General features: G+C 36.2%; 1 long non-coding RNA gene across 2 annotated transcripts in view; it reads left to right on the top strand.

Annotated features, from left to right (window-relative positions):
* Nucleotides 1–15,350, top strand: part of LOC105377462 (uncharacterized) — a 360,687-nt gene that overhangs the window by 278,529 nt on the left and 66,808 nt on the right. For both annotated transcript variants that reach the window (XR_939273.3, XR_939272.3), the window contains one exon: nucleotides 433–524. This is a non-coding gene — a long non-coding RNA (uncharacterized LOC105377462). The remainder of the gene's footprint in view (nucleotides 1–432; nucleotides 525–15,350) is intronic.

The following is a 15,350-nucleotide window of genomic DNA, read 5'->3' as shown; positions in this document are numbered from 1 at the left end:
AGACTCTGAAAAGGAGGTTACAAGCTTCAAGGACTCTTCCTGGTTTTGTATAGTAAGCTCCCGAGTTTCCTTTTAACCCCAAAGATCAACATTTATTTTAACATCTACCCACTTTGACCAAAGCCTAAGTCTTGGAAGTCCTCATTCCTGTAGTTCTCTCTGACTGCTTTAGAGTAGAGCTGGCACTGCAGACCTTGACTTCTCTTGGTGCAGTTATAGTTCCTTTGCCATATTTCAAACAGTTAGACCTAGGACTGGTCCACGAAAAGCAAAATGGCACCATGAGATATGAACCATTTTAATGCATTCAACTTATTTTCACATGAAGTTGAAATTAGTACATCTGGGCTACAGCTCCACTTTTGCCAAGAGTAATAAACATTCTCAACTTTTTTAGAAATCACAAGTAATCTTTTTTTTTCTTTCTTTAAGGTGTACGTGTTGGATCTATTATAACTTTCTTTCACTCCATCTCTCAGAATAGATGATCATCCTCATCTTTGCATCATATTCCAATTAGAAAGGTGAGTTTTTCTTTTTTTTTAAATAAGCAAATTATATTATATATTAAGTTTAAAAAGCAGGACACAAATTATTAATTATAGTTAATATGCCAGGTAAAAATCATAGAAAGGTGAGTTTTTCATCTTGATTCTTTTTTTCCCCATCCCATATCATAGATCTATTCTCATCTGAACTTATTTGCAAAGTAATATTAGCCATAATTTAGGAAGAAAGAATTGTTTGTTTCTTTTTGTTTGTTTTGTTTTCGTTTGTTTGTTTTGTTTTGTTTTGAGATGGAGTCTCGCTCCGTCACCAGACTAGAGTGCTGTGGTGCGATCTCGGCTCACTGCAACCTCCAACTCCCTGGTTCAAGGGAAAGAATCATTTTTGTTTCTGCTGAGCCTGAGATAATAGTGTGCTCAGTCTTCCAAAGTTTAATCTTTCTTCTTTAAAACTTTAGCTCCTCATATTTCTCTTCAGCAGGCCACCTGATTACTGTACTTCTGATTCTTTTTCCATGGCTTACACTCATATATTAGGTTCATGGAGCATGGAATAATGTTGCATTAAACATTAAACAGAGGGAAGAGAGAACATATTTTATCTAATATGTTAAGATGAAATTGGCCTGTAATTAGGGTAGACAAGATGATACCCAGTGAGTAACTAACCCATTTACCTAATTGAAGTTAGATGAAGACGAAGAGATGGTCATCATCTTTTACTTTCCTTGATGCTTCTCAAATGACCAAGGTCCTACAGGCTGAAGAGCCAATGGCCAACCTGATGTTCACCTGTTTTCAGTGTTAAAGTTATATACAAGAGAAAAATAATGGTGGTATTATTACTGCTCAAAGTAATCTACAAAGAACAAACTCTAGTTACCTCTAACCACCCTTAGTAGTGTTCTGGCAAGAAATGGCAGCCCCCAATTTCTCCTATCCCCATAAATTTACCAGAATGCATCAAAATAATTCAATCAGAACTATCATCATGCCCTGGCTAACAAAGAAGGAAGACATTAAAAGTCAGTGTAGTTCTTGGTTGATGACACCAGTTTCCAGAGAAAGGAAGAAAGAACCTGATACTCCTCACAGGACTCTCCATACCACTGGGCTCTCCACAGACACAGAGCTCTCCACAGACACAGAGCTCTCCACAGATGCAGAGCTTATAAGAGCTTATAAGAAATTGTGAAATCTATTGGGAAGGGCCAGAATTATGCAAATTAGAGAAATATTCTTTCTTCAATATATTGTTGACTAAATGGTAAGTAATGCTTATCTTTAAAAGATTACAAAATGAGTCTCTATAAGGATCAAGGATGTTCACACTCCTTATTAGTGGGGACACTGAAGCAGAAATAGGAGTCCTTTGTTTATTTTTGCTCATGAACTGGAGCCAATACCTACCACCATTAGTTTTCTCTCATATATAATTTTAACATTGAATGCAGGTGAACAACAGTTCTTATTCTGCTAACACATGGGATATTACTGTAGAAAACTTTCACCAAGGGGTGAAGTAACCTTCTTAAGAGGGCAAGGGATGGAGGTGCTAGTGGGGTGTAAATTAAGAGACTGTAAGAAGGAATGCTTGTAAACAGAGCTAAACCTGATGGCTAGAGAGTCAGGTCAGAAAGGGTCGTAGCATTGATAGTAACATCATCCCTCAGAACGTCTGCATCATAAAATGACTGTTTTTTGTTAAAAAAAAAAGACTATTGTTTATTTATTTGGTTAGAATTCCTTCATTCTACAAATATTCATCGAAGAGTTACCATGTGCCAGCCATCATTCTAAGTGCTGCTAGAAACAAGATAATGTCCTTGCACACATGGGCAGGTTTTTTTTTCACAATATAATGAAAACAAAATGGAAAATTTTACACATACCCACATAGGCATGTGTGTGTGCATGTGTGATTTCAAACAGTAATACATTTTATGGAGGATTAATAGGGAGCATTAGGAGATAGCAGGAGTGTGGTGGGAGAGAATTGCAGACTTGGCTAAGTGGTTCACACAACATCTATTCCAACCTCCTTCCACTGTTCCTTCTAGCTGCAAAGACAAAATAAAATAAAATTTTTATTTTTAGACTCCCTTGAAGTAGAGTTCTGGATGTAATATAGGTTCTACCAATCTTTGTACTTACAAAAGACTTGAATTCAGACATGAATTAAGCATGAGACAGTCACCATGAGGCAACAAATTTTGCTACTAAGGATCTGTCAAGTGCTGAGTAGCTCTTGAGTCAACATTATGTCAGGTATATTCCTGCAGGTAACAACTGCAGTATTCACTTTCTGGTTTTTGGGTGTATGGCTAAGATAGTGTGATTCTGAAGCCAGAAGTTTGGAGTGTGCTTTCTGATAACCCAGTTTCCAAAATGTAGCAAAAATAATAGTCTGCTGGTAGATGTTTTTATAATCATTTTGGAAGCCTAACATGGAACCTCCTACCCAGTCATTCCAATAATTTGGTAAGTACCTAATGGCTTTTCTTTTAATATAGCAAGAGTAATTTTTGCTTTTTGCAATTGATTCTGGCCACAATAAGGGACTCCTTATACTGTGTGGTCAAGAATCACATCTCTGAGGAAAATTTGAGCTGATACCTGAAGAACTTGGAAGAATCAGCCTAAGAACAGCCAAAACAAGGGAATTTAGGCAGGAAGACTAGCAAGTGAAAACATCTTATGGCAAAAGAGCTTGCACATTGGGACTCAAAAAAGGAGACTTTTAGTACAAGATGAAATTAGGGAGATTGGTAGGAACCAACTTACGGCAAATAATTTGAAGATTATAATATGCGTGATAGGAAACCATCAGACGGTATGAAGCAGGAAAGTGCCATGATCTTTTTAAAAAGATCATATTGGCTAATGTAGAGAGAATGAAAGGCTAGTTTGTGAATTTATGCAAAAGTTGGTGATATTTTGGAGGATCATAGTAGTCAAAAAATCTAAATTGGTAAAAATGACATATTTAGGACATACCTTGGAGGAAAAGTTGATAGGAATTGCTGACAGATTAGATAAAGGTATTTAAAAAGGGGGAAATAAAGTTGATACCAGGGTTTTCAGCTTGAGCAGTTGGGTAGCATTGAGAGGAAAAATACAGGATGATAATCATATCTGGGTGGGGGAATAAAGAGTTCAATTTGGTGCTTGTTAAGTTTGAGATACCTATAGACTCTATAGCAGTTGTCTTTTACTGTGTAACCAGCCATTTCAAAAAAGTGGCTTAAAACAATTTATTATTTCTTACAATTCTGTGGGCTGGTTGAATGATTCTTCCATTGGTCTAACTTGAGCTCACTTATGTTGCTGCATTCAGCCAACATTTCATGGTCTGGAAGATACGAGACTATTTCATTCACACATCTTAAAGTCGGTACCTACTGTTGGCTTTTTCTTTGGGTATTTTATCCTCCAGTAGGTTAGACTGTTTTCTCACCATGAGAAGGGACATGAGTGCAGGACATTATCTTGTTCGGGGAGCATGGAGAATGATGGCTGGCACTTAGACTGGCTTTTTACGTGGAAGTCTCTCAGGTTAACAGTCTAAGAAAATGAAAGCAGAGACTGCCAGGCCTCTTATGACAAGAGCCTGATAATTGTATTTCTACCATACTCTATTCATCAAAGCAAGTCAGACCAGCCCAGATTCAAGGGAAAGAAAAACAGACTCTACTTCTTGTTAGGAGCACCACGGTCACAGGGCAAAGGATCATGGGAAAAAATTGTTGCCTTGGGAAATATCTTCAAAAGGAATCTGCCAGAGGCATCCTAGTAGAAATAGGATGTAGACAGTCAGATAGGGTCTGAAACTAAAAGGAGAAGTCTCAATTCACCTATGTGACTTTATTGCCAAGTAATTATCCAGGAACTAAGTACAAACTCAGTTACTGATCTGTTAGATTAAATGTTACTATTCGCAGACTATCTTTTCTCACTCTAATGCTGCCGATTTTTCAGCATTGTATAGGAGATTTAGAAAATATAAGTACTGTATTAATCTTCTGTTACTCTATATCAAGTTATCACAAAACTTAGATTAAAACGGCAAACATTTATTATCTCACACTTTTGCTGGTCAGTATTTTAGATAGTTCTCTCATGGTCTTTCGTGAGGCTGCAGTCAAGCTCATGGCCAGGGCTACTATCATCTGAAGGCTTGACTTGGGCTGATGAATCCGCTTTTAAGATATCTTATTCACATGGGTGTTAATAGAAATTATTAGTTCCTTGCCATATGAACCTCTCCATAGTATTACTTGAATATTTCCAAGTGTAGCTTGTCCAAGAAAGGGCAAAAAGAAGGCCAAAGTGTTTTCTATAACCACGTCCAAAATGACGCACTGTAACTTCCACCATATTATGTTTGTTAGAAGCAAGTCAAAATACAACCCATGTTCAAGTAGTGAGAAATGAAGATTTTCCTCTCAAAGAGGAAATTCAAAGAATTTTTGGAGAAAATTTAAAACCATCAAAAGTATAGGTGTAGGTGTGTAGAGTTGGTTGGGAAAAGGCAAAAAAAGTTCCTCTTTGACTGTAATTTGTCAGACTTCCTGGTGCAGTGCAAGGGAAAATCCAAATTAACTAGAAATTTTGTTTCTCCTATGCTTTTATGTCCTTCTGAGATTTCACCTGCCATAGAGGACAAGATGTTTGTATTTTGCAGCCCACAATGTTATACTGATAGGCTTAAACAAGACAGAGAAGCAAGAGCAGTGAGTGGTATACAGAGCTGGCAGGAGATGCTTTAGCCCATCTCCTTATTATCTCTGAAAACCCCTATGTGCCACTCCGAATAAGCACACAATAAAAATAACGTTCCTGGTCTGCAAATATGACTTTTAAAACACAACCTTAAGTCCCCTTTCTACTCTTACTTTCTTGTCATATTTCCACTTTTAACCTCCTTCAGTGCAGGCATTCTGGAGCTGCCTGTGGCTTTAGGGAAAGGGGAATGTGCTTTATGCCATCTCCTGGGCTCCAGCAGAGAAGGAGCTCTTTAGGCAGTGCAGAGTTTCAGTGAAGACACCTACCTTCTTGTGGATCTCTAAGATGAAACAAGAAAGAGACAGTAAGAGTGAACCTCCTGATTGCCTTTAAATTATCAAGAACACCCTAAATATTTAACATCTACTCTAAATCTACACTCAGCATTAGATGCTGAGGTACAAAAACTTCTGCCTTCAAAGAGCTTACAGCACAATATAGGGAGCTGGAATACATAAACCAGTAAGTGCACAAAATTGTATACTATGATCGATATCTCTGTAGTGGAAGAATGTGGAGGTGGAGGGCCTAAAAAATTTCTTAGAGGAGGTTATATTTGAGTTATTCTTGAATATGAGAAGGGCATTTTAGGCAGAAGAGCAGCAGGATGAAACATGAATTAACAATCTCAAATAGAATTGTGGGGTTCACAAACTTTGGAATTAGGTAATATTGGGTTTCACTAACTACTACTTTCAAGATTCAGCCAAGGGAAGGAGCAAGAGGGATATTCATTTAGAAGAAGAGATTAGATGGTTTTCTATGAAGGGAAAACCTAATCTCACTTATTTTAATGGTTCCTATTAAGGCAAGTCCATTCAGATCAAAAGGGTACGCATTCAAATGATTTTCTTTGAGATGTACATTCAGGATTTTTTGTAAGAGGAGAAAGGCCATATTCCATCATTCAGGACTCATTTATTGAACTTGCAGAGAGTTTTTATATTTTAAGGTATATGCAACTGATTTAGGTAGACTATACCTCTTCATTGAAATACCTCCTATGCCTGATAATAAATAATATTACCTTAAGTAAATGGGTTTAGGAGTAAATTTTCTACTTATATTTAATTAAAATAGATGTTCCATAAGCCAAATTCATGTAAACCCAGTATATAAAGAAAATACGAAGGACAGACTTTGAAATTTGTGGAGACTATTCCTGATAAAATTTCCCTAAGACTATTCTTCAAAGTCACTATAATTCCCATCAAAAAATTGAATGCTGCTATAGATGTTGAGCCTTCTTTTAAAATTTCAATTCAATTTAGCTGCATTATAGCATATTTATTATAATAGCATTTATTTTTTATTAATCTCAAATTATTTTCATTATTAAATTAGAATAATTTCTTTAAGATGTCTTTAGGTTAAAGATGAAAATTTGAAGTAGTTTCCTGTCTTTCTTATAATCATCTTCCTTCTGATTGGTGTTATGTTTTATATTGTTCTTATATAGTCATGTCCATTAGGGAAGGGGTCGCTAAACTATGACCTGAGGGCTAAATTCAACATATTGCCTGTTTTTGTGGCCATGAGCTAAGAATTATTTTTTCTATTTTTAAAATGGTGGAAAAAAATCAAATGAAGAATAATATTTTGCAACACGTGAAAACTATGTGAAATTTTAATTTCAGATCCATAAATAAAGTTACACAGGAGCACAGTCATATTTAGGACATACCCTAGAGGGAAAGTTGATAGGAATTGCTGACAGATTGGATAAAGGTATTTAAAAAGGGGGAAATAAAGTTAAAGTTGGAAAAAAATCAAATGAAGAATAATATTTTGCAACACATGAAAATTATGTGAAATTTTAATTTCAGATCCATAAATAAAGTTACATAGGAGCACAGTCATACTCATTCACTTACATAGTGTCTATGATTATTTTCATGCTCTAACAGCAGTGTTAAGTTATTGGGAAAGACATCGTATGGCCTGCAAGGCTTAACATATTTATACCTGGCCCTTTGCAGAAAGTTTGCTGTTCCTTGCCTTAGATGATAGGTTTAAATGCATCTCCACTAGATTGCATCGTGTAGCCCTTATATTTGGTATTTTTAACTATACAAATTAAGTGTTCAAAATGTTGCCCTTCTTCCTAGCTTCAGAGGATGAAAAACTGGAAATATAAGAAATGAAGTTTCTTGGATCAAACTTATTCATTTAAATTTTACTATCTGAAGGGACCTAATCTACTGAGGTTAAATTAAAAAATTGTAATCTGGTTTTAGGAATAGCATTTTCTGTGACTGTAGCATGAGTGTTGAAATTTTGTGCCTATGCAGAATGCCAGGGGGCCACTCCTGAGCCCATTTTGGATATAAATAAAGAGGATTACAGTGTTTTGCACACTTTTTCAGTCTGAAATTCTACAGTGCAGTAGATGAAGCATAATATGAATTGTTTTGGCATTGCTGGATTCATATAAAGCTCCATGCATTTACACATCTGTGTCTGCAAAAAGAAGAGATAATTGTTCCACTCTATTGCTGTTTATGAATCAGAAGAACAAAAAGGCAACAGAATAAACAAAATGTCATGTCCATACAAATCCTGATTAGGATAAAATCATCTGGCTGGCATTGCCTGTGTACAACATCGCCAACAGGGCGCCAGCCCATGAGGGAAGCCTGCACAAGTCCCCTGTCTTAGGTCTTCAAAGCTTGGGAAAGCTTATTTGAGGGTTTACAAAAAAGCTAGATCTACCCCAAACAGTCAAGATTTAGTCTCCAAGTCTTTGCAATTATTAACCAACTTGTCTTTTAAAATCCCTGAAGTCTCAGGAGGTTTCATAATAATTGCAGCATTTAGTATAGGGTGCTTATAAAAGTATGCTTGATTAATATTTAGATCAGGGTTGCTCAACTTCAGAACTATGGACATTTTGGGCCAGATAATTCTTTGTTGTGAAGGTCTACCCTGTGAACTGTAAGATGTTTAGCAGTATTCCTATAATTTTTCCTCTAAATGCCTATAGCATTTTCCCAGTTGAGACAACTTAAAATGTCTCCAGACACGTGACAAATGTACCCTAGGGGGCAATACTTCCCCTAGTTGAGAACCAGGATTGAGAAAATCTGTTTCATATTTCAATGGAATCAAAGGCGCTCGCGGCCGCCATGAGAACAGATTTAGATTGAAAAGACTCAGAATCTGAGTTTTAGAGACATAAAACAATTATCTAAAAATCAAAATAATAATTACCTAAAATTTATTTTAAAAATCTGATTATACATTTGGATTTCCAAAACAGTCTTAGGTTTGCTTATAAAGAAGATAAAATCAGAATACATGGTAGCTCTTTTACCTATTCCAGTTTTTACATGCCCAGTGGATGCAAAGGCTGAACCAGTATGCTTGTCTGCAGAATTTTCGGTTCATTGATTCACCTAACTGATAGTGACTGAGCACCTTCTGAGGGCTTTGTCAGACTCTCTGCTGGGTAGAGGGGCCCATAGCTTATCGGGTCACTTTTTGATAACATGGCCCTGGTTTCTGTTTATAAATCTTCCATGGCTCCTCTCAGTCTAGAAAATAAAATTAAAATTAAAGTAAGTCCTTTATGGTTTTCTCTGTCATTACTACCCCCAAATCCATTCAATTTCCAATGATTCATCTAAGTTGGAGTTTCTCAATTCTGGCTATAGATTAGAATATCTTGGGGAGATTTTTTTATTTAATTACCAAGACATAGGCCCTATTGAATCTCAGTTGTTGGGGCATCAAGGTTTTACCAAAACTCTCTGGGGCATTCTAATATGCAAACAGGATTGAAAGCCAGTGGTCTGAGCCATGGGCAGTGATTCTATTTTCCCCTTGTCAATGTCTAGTTTAGGAATGAGCACATGGCAAGACATCCTAATGGGATATGAGGAGAAGTCAGTGTTATGTAGGAACATGATTCTGAGAAAATACTCCTCTCCTCAAAAAATAGTCTTGAGGAAAATGACCTTTGGGCCCTGGGTGATGTTAGATCTGGATCACTCATCTGGAACAAGATGCAGGGCTACAGTCTTCTTGTTTCAAGCCTGAGGATGAAGTCAACATGTGTAAGAGGAAAGAGACAAGAGACTTCATCACAAAGATGCCTTAGTGAATATGCCTGAGCCTGACTCCTTGGAACTTCCTGTTTCATTAATTAACTGCCTTATTTTTTAAAATCCAGTCTGAGTTACCTGTTAGTTGCAGCCAAAGCATTCTAACTTATGTAACATTCCAGAATCTGCTCAGTCCTCCCTGACCCAACAAACTCAGTCATTTTGTCCACACAGACATGCTGATGCTGCAGCCACTTCTGACTGTTGCCACCCTCTGGTGACATTTCCATGGCTTTACTAATATTTTCTCTCTCAGTAGAATAGCATTGTTTTTCACACTACTTCTAGTATTGTATTCCAATATATAACTGCTAAAACTCAATAGAACTTTACTTCTTTTTCACTGAATATTCCAAAAAGTTTTCTTTGATGCAATGAATCAGGAACACAGACTTCTTCCATCTTGGAACTCTACCATTCCCAGATTCTTGACATTTCCACTTGCTCACAGCCAGCAAAAAGATAAAGAGAGAATGCATTAAAAGAAAACACCCACTTCTGAAATCCTTAGCTTAGCAGCAGCACATATCACTTCTGCTCATAGAAAAAGTTGTCTTATGACTACATGTAGTGCTAAGGAAAGCTGGGAATATGGTCTTGCTATGTGCCATGGACGAAATAAAATAGGGATTTTGTGAATAGCTAGGAGTTTCTGCCAGAAAGGCTCATGTCAAATCTCACCTTCCCAATCACTCAGCCATATAGGATTTCTATTCTGCCTATGGCCCTGTGCAGTCTGGGAGGTAGCATTAGTTGTGCTGGAATCATGAATGATCTTTCCACCTAGCTAACATTTTCTCCCACTGGATTGTAAATTCATTGAGAATAGAAACTGTTTTTATGGTCCTCTTTCCTGTCCGTGGTATCCTTATCCTGAAGCAATGGTTCTGAAACTTAAGGTACAAGAGAATCACCTGAAGGACTTGTTACAGCGCAATTGCAAATTCTCATCCCCAGAGTTTCTGGTTCAGTTGGTTTGGGATAGAGCCTAAAAATTTGCATTTCTAGCAAGTTTCCACATGGTGCTGGTGAAACAATGGACCTACATCAATTCTTACTTGATTTTGTGGTTAACAAACGGTAAGAGGCACACTTCTGAGTTGTTAGTAGTATAAGGGAGGCACAGAAGTCAGGTTTATGCTACCTTCTGAGTCTACCAAAGTCTATACCAACTACTTCTCTTTCTCTCCTCCATATCCCTCTTATTTTTACTTGTGTGCATCCCATCTAACTGGAGCAAAGCAACCCGAGGAGACAACTTTTTGCCATTTTCAAAAACATATATAGTTTTTAAAATGGGATACCCATAAAAAATGATGAGTTCATGTCCTTTGTAGGGACATGGATGAAGCTGGAAACCATCATTCTCAGCAAACTATCGCAAGGACAAAAAACCAAACACAGCATGTTCTCACTCATAGGTGGGAATTGAACAATGAGAACACATGGACACAGGAAGGGGAACATCACATACCGGGGCCTGTTGTGGGGTGGGGGGAGGAGGGAGGGATAGCATTAGGAGATATACCTAATGTTAAATGACGAGTTAATGGGTGCAGCGCACCAACATGGCACATGTATACATATGTAACTAACCTGCACGTTGTGCACATGTACCCTAAAATTTAAAGTATAATTAAAAAAATCTAGTTTGAAAAATAATTTGCGTTAAAAGATGTTAATTTAATTTAAAAATCCTCAACTTTGTCCTGGGAAAGGAAGAGAAAATACTAGTAAATTTATGACAGTAAGAATTCTTTTGAATCACTGTTATTTGTCATAATAACAATACAATTTCCAGTTAGGAAAGTCACACGTCCTTTGAAGTGACAGTAAATTTTAAGTATATTTTTAAAATTAGCATTTTTCAAATATAAACTAAATACAGTTTTATTCCACACAACAAGGTGTTTACTTTTGAAAACTATATCACTGGGTGCAAAATTTTCCCTTTAAAACAATAAAGACATTTTTGGTCTGAGAAAACATTTCTGACATTTTAACAAATTTACTGTCTTATTTTGTCTGCAAGACACACGGTAAGATAAAAAAAAATTATGGGTCAAATGAGTTGCTATGTCACAGGAAATCATAATAGAATCTTGTTGATTTGAGTCATCTGAAATTGAACCAAACCCTGGGATAAGTAGAAGAAAGGGGTACAATATAGCATTGGTTAAAAAGAGGCATCAGTGAAGCATGCTAATTGGACTTTTAGAATTTGAGCAATACTTCACTCTAATCAGTGGATTTACCAAGCATCAACCCAATATTTGCTTATAAGCCTAAAGTGGAAGGAACTCCAAAGAAGTGATCATATCAGAGGTGAGGAAATGTAATCCTTTTCCCTAAAAGTAAAACTGGCTTACATAGTTTTAGTGCTGGATACGGAAAACCTGTAATGGATTAAGACAATGACTATAACCTGCTGTAAGTAGAAGGGTCAACTTAACTTTGGTTATTTAAAAAATCTGTCTAAATGGAAGTTTCATTTGAAATATATACGTGTCACCTGTGAGAGATGGAACATTTAAGTCAGGCAAAGCATGGAATAGAATAGTTCGTCATAAAAAGTAAGGACTGAGGGCACTGCTTTCTGGGCAAGTAATTTTGCTAGAGAATGAGAAGTAAGACAAAGTTTCTAGCAAGTTGAACTCCACAGTTCGGGCCCCAGGCAACAGAAACACAATGGATCCTGGGAGCTCAGAGGCCAAGAGAGCCCTGAAAGGTAGGATGATCAGAAATATAATCTAAAGTGAAACACTTTTGTGAGTAAAAGGGGGTATTACTAATAACATCACCAGGAATATAGGCGTAAACTGGGACTGTCTCAGAAAATCTCATGTGTATGTTTCCCTAACTAATAGGTGAAGAATACTAGATGAACTTTGGGAGATTAAGATCATTGAAAGAAAATTAAGACAAACATTAGTTCATTGGGTTGGTCTTAAGCCTAGTCGTGATTGTTTTTGTGAATTATCTGGACTAGTTTAAAATCCTGATATTTTGGGGTTTTATGAGCATTATTAGTTCTCTTATATAATTAGAACTGCTTGGCTTACAGAACACGTCTCAATCAAACAACATGTCGGAGGCTGTACTCCACAAGAGTCAGCATGGCCTCAGTATTCACACAGACCTCAGTAGGGAATGTAACTCTACTATTTTCTAGCTGTGTGACCTATCTCAACCTATATCCTCATCTGTAAAATAGGGATAAGAAAACTACTCTCTCAGGATGTTGTAAGGATTGAATTAAATGATATATGAGTGTTTGATACAATGTACTCAATAACTCTTTCTATTAACTCTTGTGCTACATAATTTTTTTAAATCCCAAATCCTTTTTTAAAAAATTTAAGATTCAGAGGGTACAGGTACTTGTTTGTTACATGGGCACTAAATGTGTAATGATGGGGATTGGGATTCTAGTGTACCCATCACCCAAATATTGAACATTGTATCTCACTCTCTGGAACCTCTCCCCACTTTTGGAATTCTCAGTGTCTGTTATCACCATCATTATGTCCATGTGTACCCTTTGTTTAGCTCCCACTTATAAGAGAGAGCATGTGATATTTGATCTGCTTCTGAGTTAGCTAGGATAATGACCTCCAGCTCTGTCCATGTTGCTGCAAAGAACATGACTTTATTTTTTTATGGCTGCATAGTATTCAATGGTGTATATACCACATTTTCTCTATCCAATCAACCATTGGCAGACACTTGGGTTGATTCCATTACTTTGCTATTGTAAATAGTGCTGCAATAAACATCTGAGTGCAGGTGTTTATTTTTTTATGTAATGCTTTCTCTTCCTTTGGGTAGATGCCCAGTAGTAGGATTGCTGGGTTAAACAGTAGTTCTATTTTTAGTTATTGAGATATTTCCATATTGTTTTCCATAGAGGTTGTACTAATTTACATTCCCACCAACAGTGTATTAGCATTCCCTTTCTCTAAATCCATGCCAGCATCTATTATTTTTTGACTTTTTAATAGTAGCCATTCTGATTGGTATAAGATGATATTTCAGTGTAGTTTTAATTTGCATTCCTCTGATGATTAGTGATTTTGAGCATTTTTTCATAGGTTTGTTGGTCACTTATATTTCTTCCTTTAAGAAATTTCTGTTCATGTTCTTTGCTCAATTTTTAATAGGGTTGCTTGTTTTTTCTTGTTGAGTTGTTTGAGTTCCTTGTAGCTTATGGATATTAGTTTTTATTGGAGGCATAATTTGCAAATACTTTCTCTCATTCTGTAGATTGTCTGTTTGTTGATTATTTCTTTCACTGTGCAGAGCTTTTTAGTTTAATTTGGTCTCATGTGTCTATTATTGTTTTTGTTGCATTTGCTTTTGGGGTCATTGTCATGAATTATTTGCCTAGGCCAATGTCCAGAAAAGTTTTTTCCTAGGTTTTCTTCTAGGATTTTTATAGGTTCAAGTCTTCCATTTAGGTTTTTAATCCATATTGGGTTAATTTTTATATATGATGAGAGACAGGGGTCTAGGTTTGTTCCTCTGCATATGGGTAGCCAATTTTATCAGCATTATTTATTGAATAGTATGTCCTTTCCACATTGTTTACTTTTGCCAGCTTTATTGAAGATCAGTGGGTTGTAGTTATGTGGCTTCATTTCTGGATTCTGGATTCTGTTCCATTCATCTATATGTCTATTTTTGTACCAGTACCATGCCATTTTAGTTATTAGACCCTTGTAGTATAATTTGAACTCAGACAATGTGATGTCTGATTTGTTCTTTTTGCTTAAAAGTGCTTTGGCTATTCAGGAATTATTTTTTAGCTCCATATGAACTTTCCATGCTACAGAATCTTAAACTTAGAAAAGACACAAAAATCATTTTTCAAATCTTTTGTCCTAATTTATTTATTTATCCAGTAGATATTGATTGAACCCCTAATACATGTTAGGTATTCTGCTAGGCATAAACTGTGAAATAACAAAACCATCTTGTTCTCAAACTCACAGAGAGTCTAGAATACTGAGGAAACATAATATCAAATAGGGAAGCAATCACACATAAAATTTCACTGGGATTTCTGCTATGAAACTTAGCTATCTGTACTTACTTACAAGAGGAATACTTGACTGATTCTTTGAGAATGAGATGGATTTTTCAATCGTTGAGAAAATTTTTGTATTGAAAAGGTAACTTTGAAATTCAAAACAGAGTGGAGGGGTGTCAGTGTACTACCCCTCATTAACCCAGGAAAGAGATAGCTCTATATTTTTTTCCCTCAGAAAATAAGGTGATTATACCACCAAACCTATAACCTGCTCATGAGGTGGCAGTTTATTCAGATTCATTGGATCAAAACAACAGATCTATGTATTTAGTATTTGTGTGTTATATAGATGCGTAAATGGATCTTATTATGCATGTTTATGGTTAAAACAAATTTTCCTAGTTAGAATACCATTAGTTGATAATCGTGTGCTATTTCTTTACTTTTTAATCATGTAAAATTTATAAAAGCAGGGGAAAAAATTTACGTGTGTGATTTTAAAAGCAATATATTTTCTTTAATATATTGATTTACTATATGCAGAGTATATGCATATTACATGAGCCAGATACTCAAAGAATCTTCACCTCAGACTGTCTTCAAAATAAATTCTCATGAAATTATTTTATATGTAGGTCCTCTTCAGCAACTCTCCCTAGTAAAATTTAACAATTTTATAACTTTGACAATGGCTTAATGTAAATTCATATCCAGAAATTTGGTGCAAAATATTAGTTTTTTTTCAAACTCATTTAAAAGTTTCAGCTCCCTTAACATGTGAATGAAGACACTGTGCAGGCAATATTGAGACTGTGGAGATGGGCAGGGCAGAGCATGAGGCAACACCTGACTAGAAAACTTGACTCGGTGCAGCATCTGCTTGCACTGGTCCTGCTAAACACCTACTTTATTCAATGCTCATCTGCA

Source organism: Homo sapiens, chromosome 4 (genome assembly GCF_000001405.40).
Source record: "Homo sapiens chromosome 4, GRCh38.p14 Primary Assembly".
Classification (NCBI taxonomy): domain Eukaryota; kingdom Metazoa; phylum Chordata; class Mammalia; order Primates; family Hominidae; genus Homo; species Homo sapiens.
This window is presented reverse-complemented; position numbering and strand designations above follow the sequence as displayed.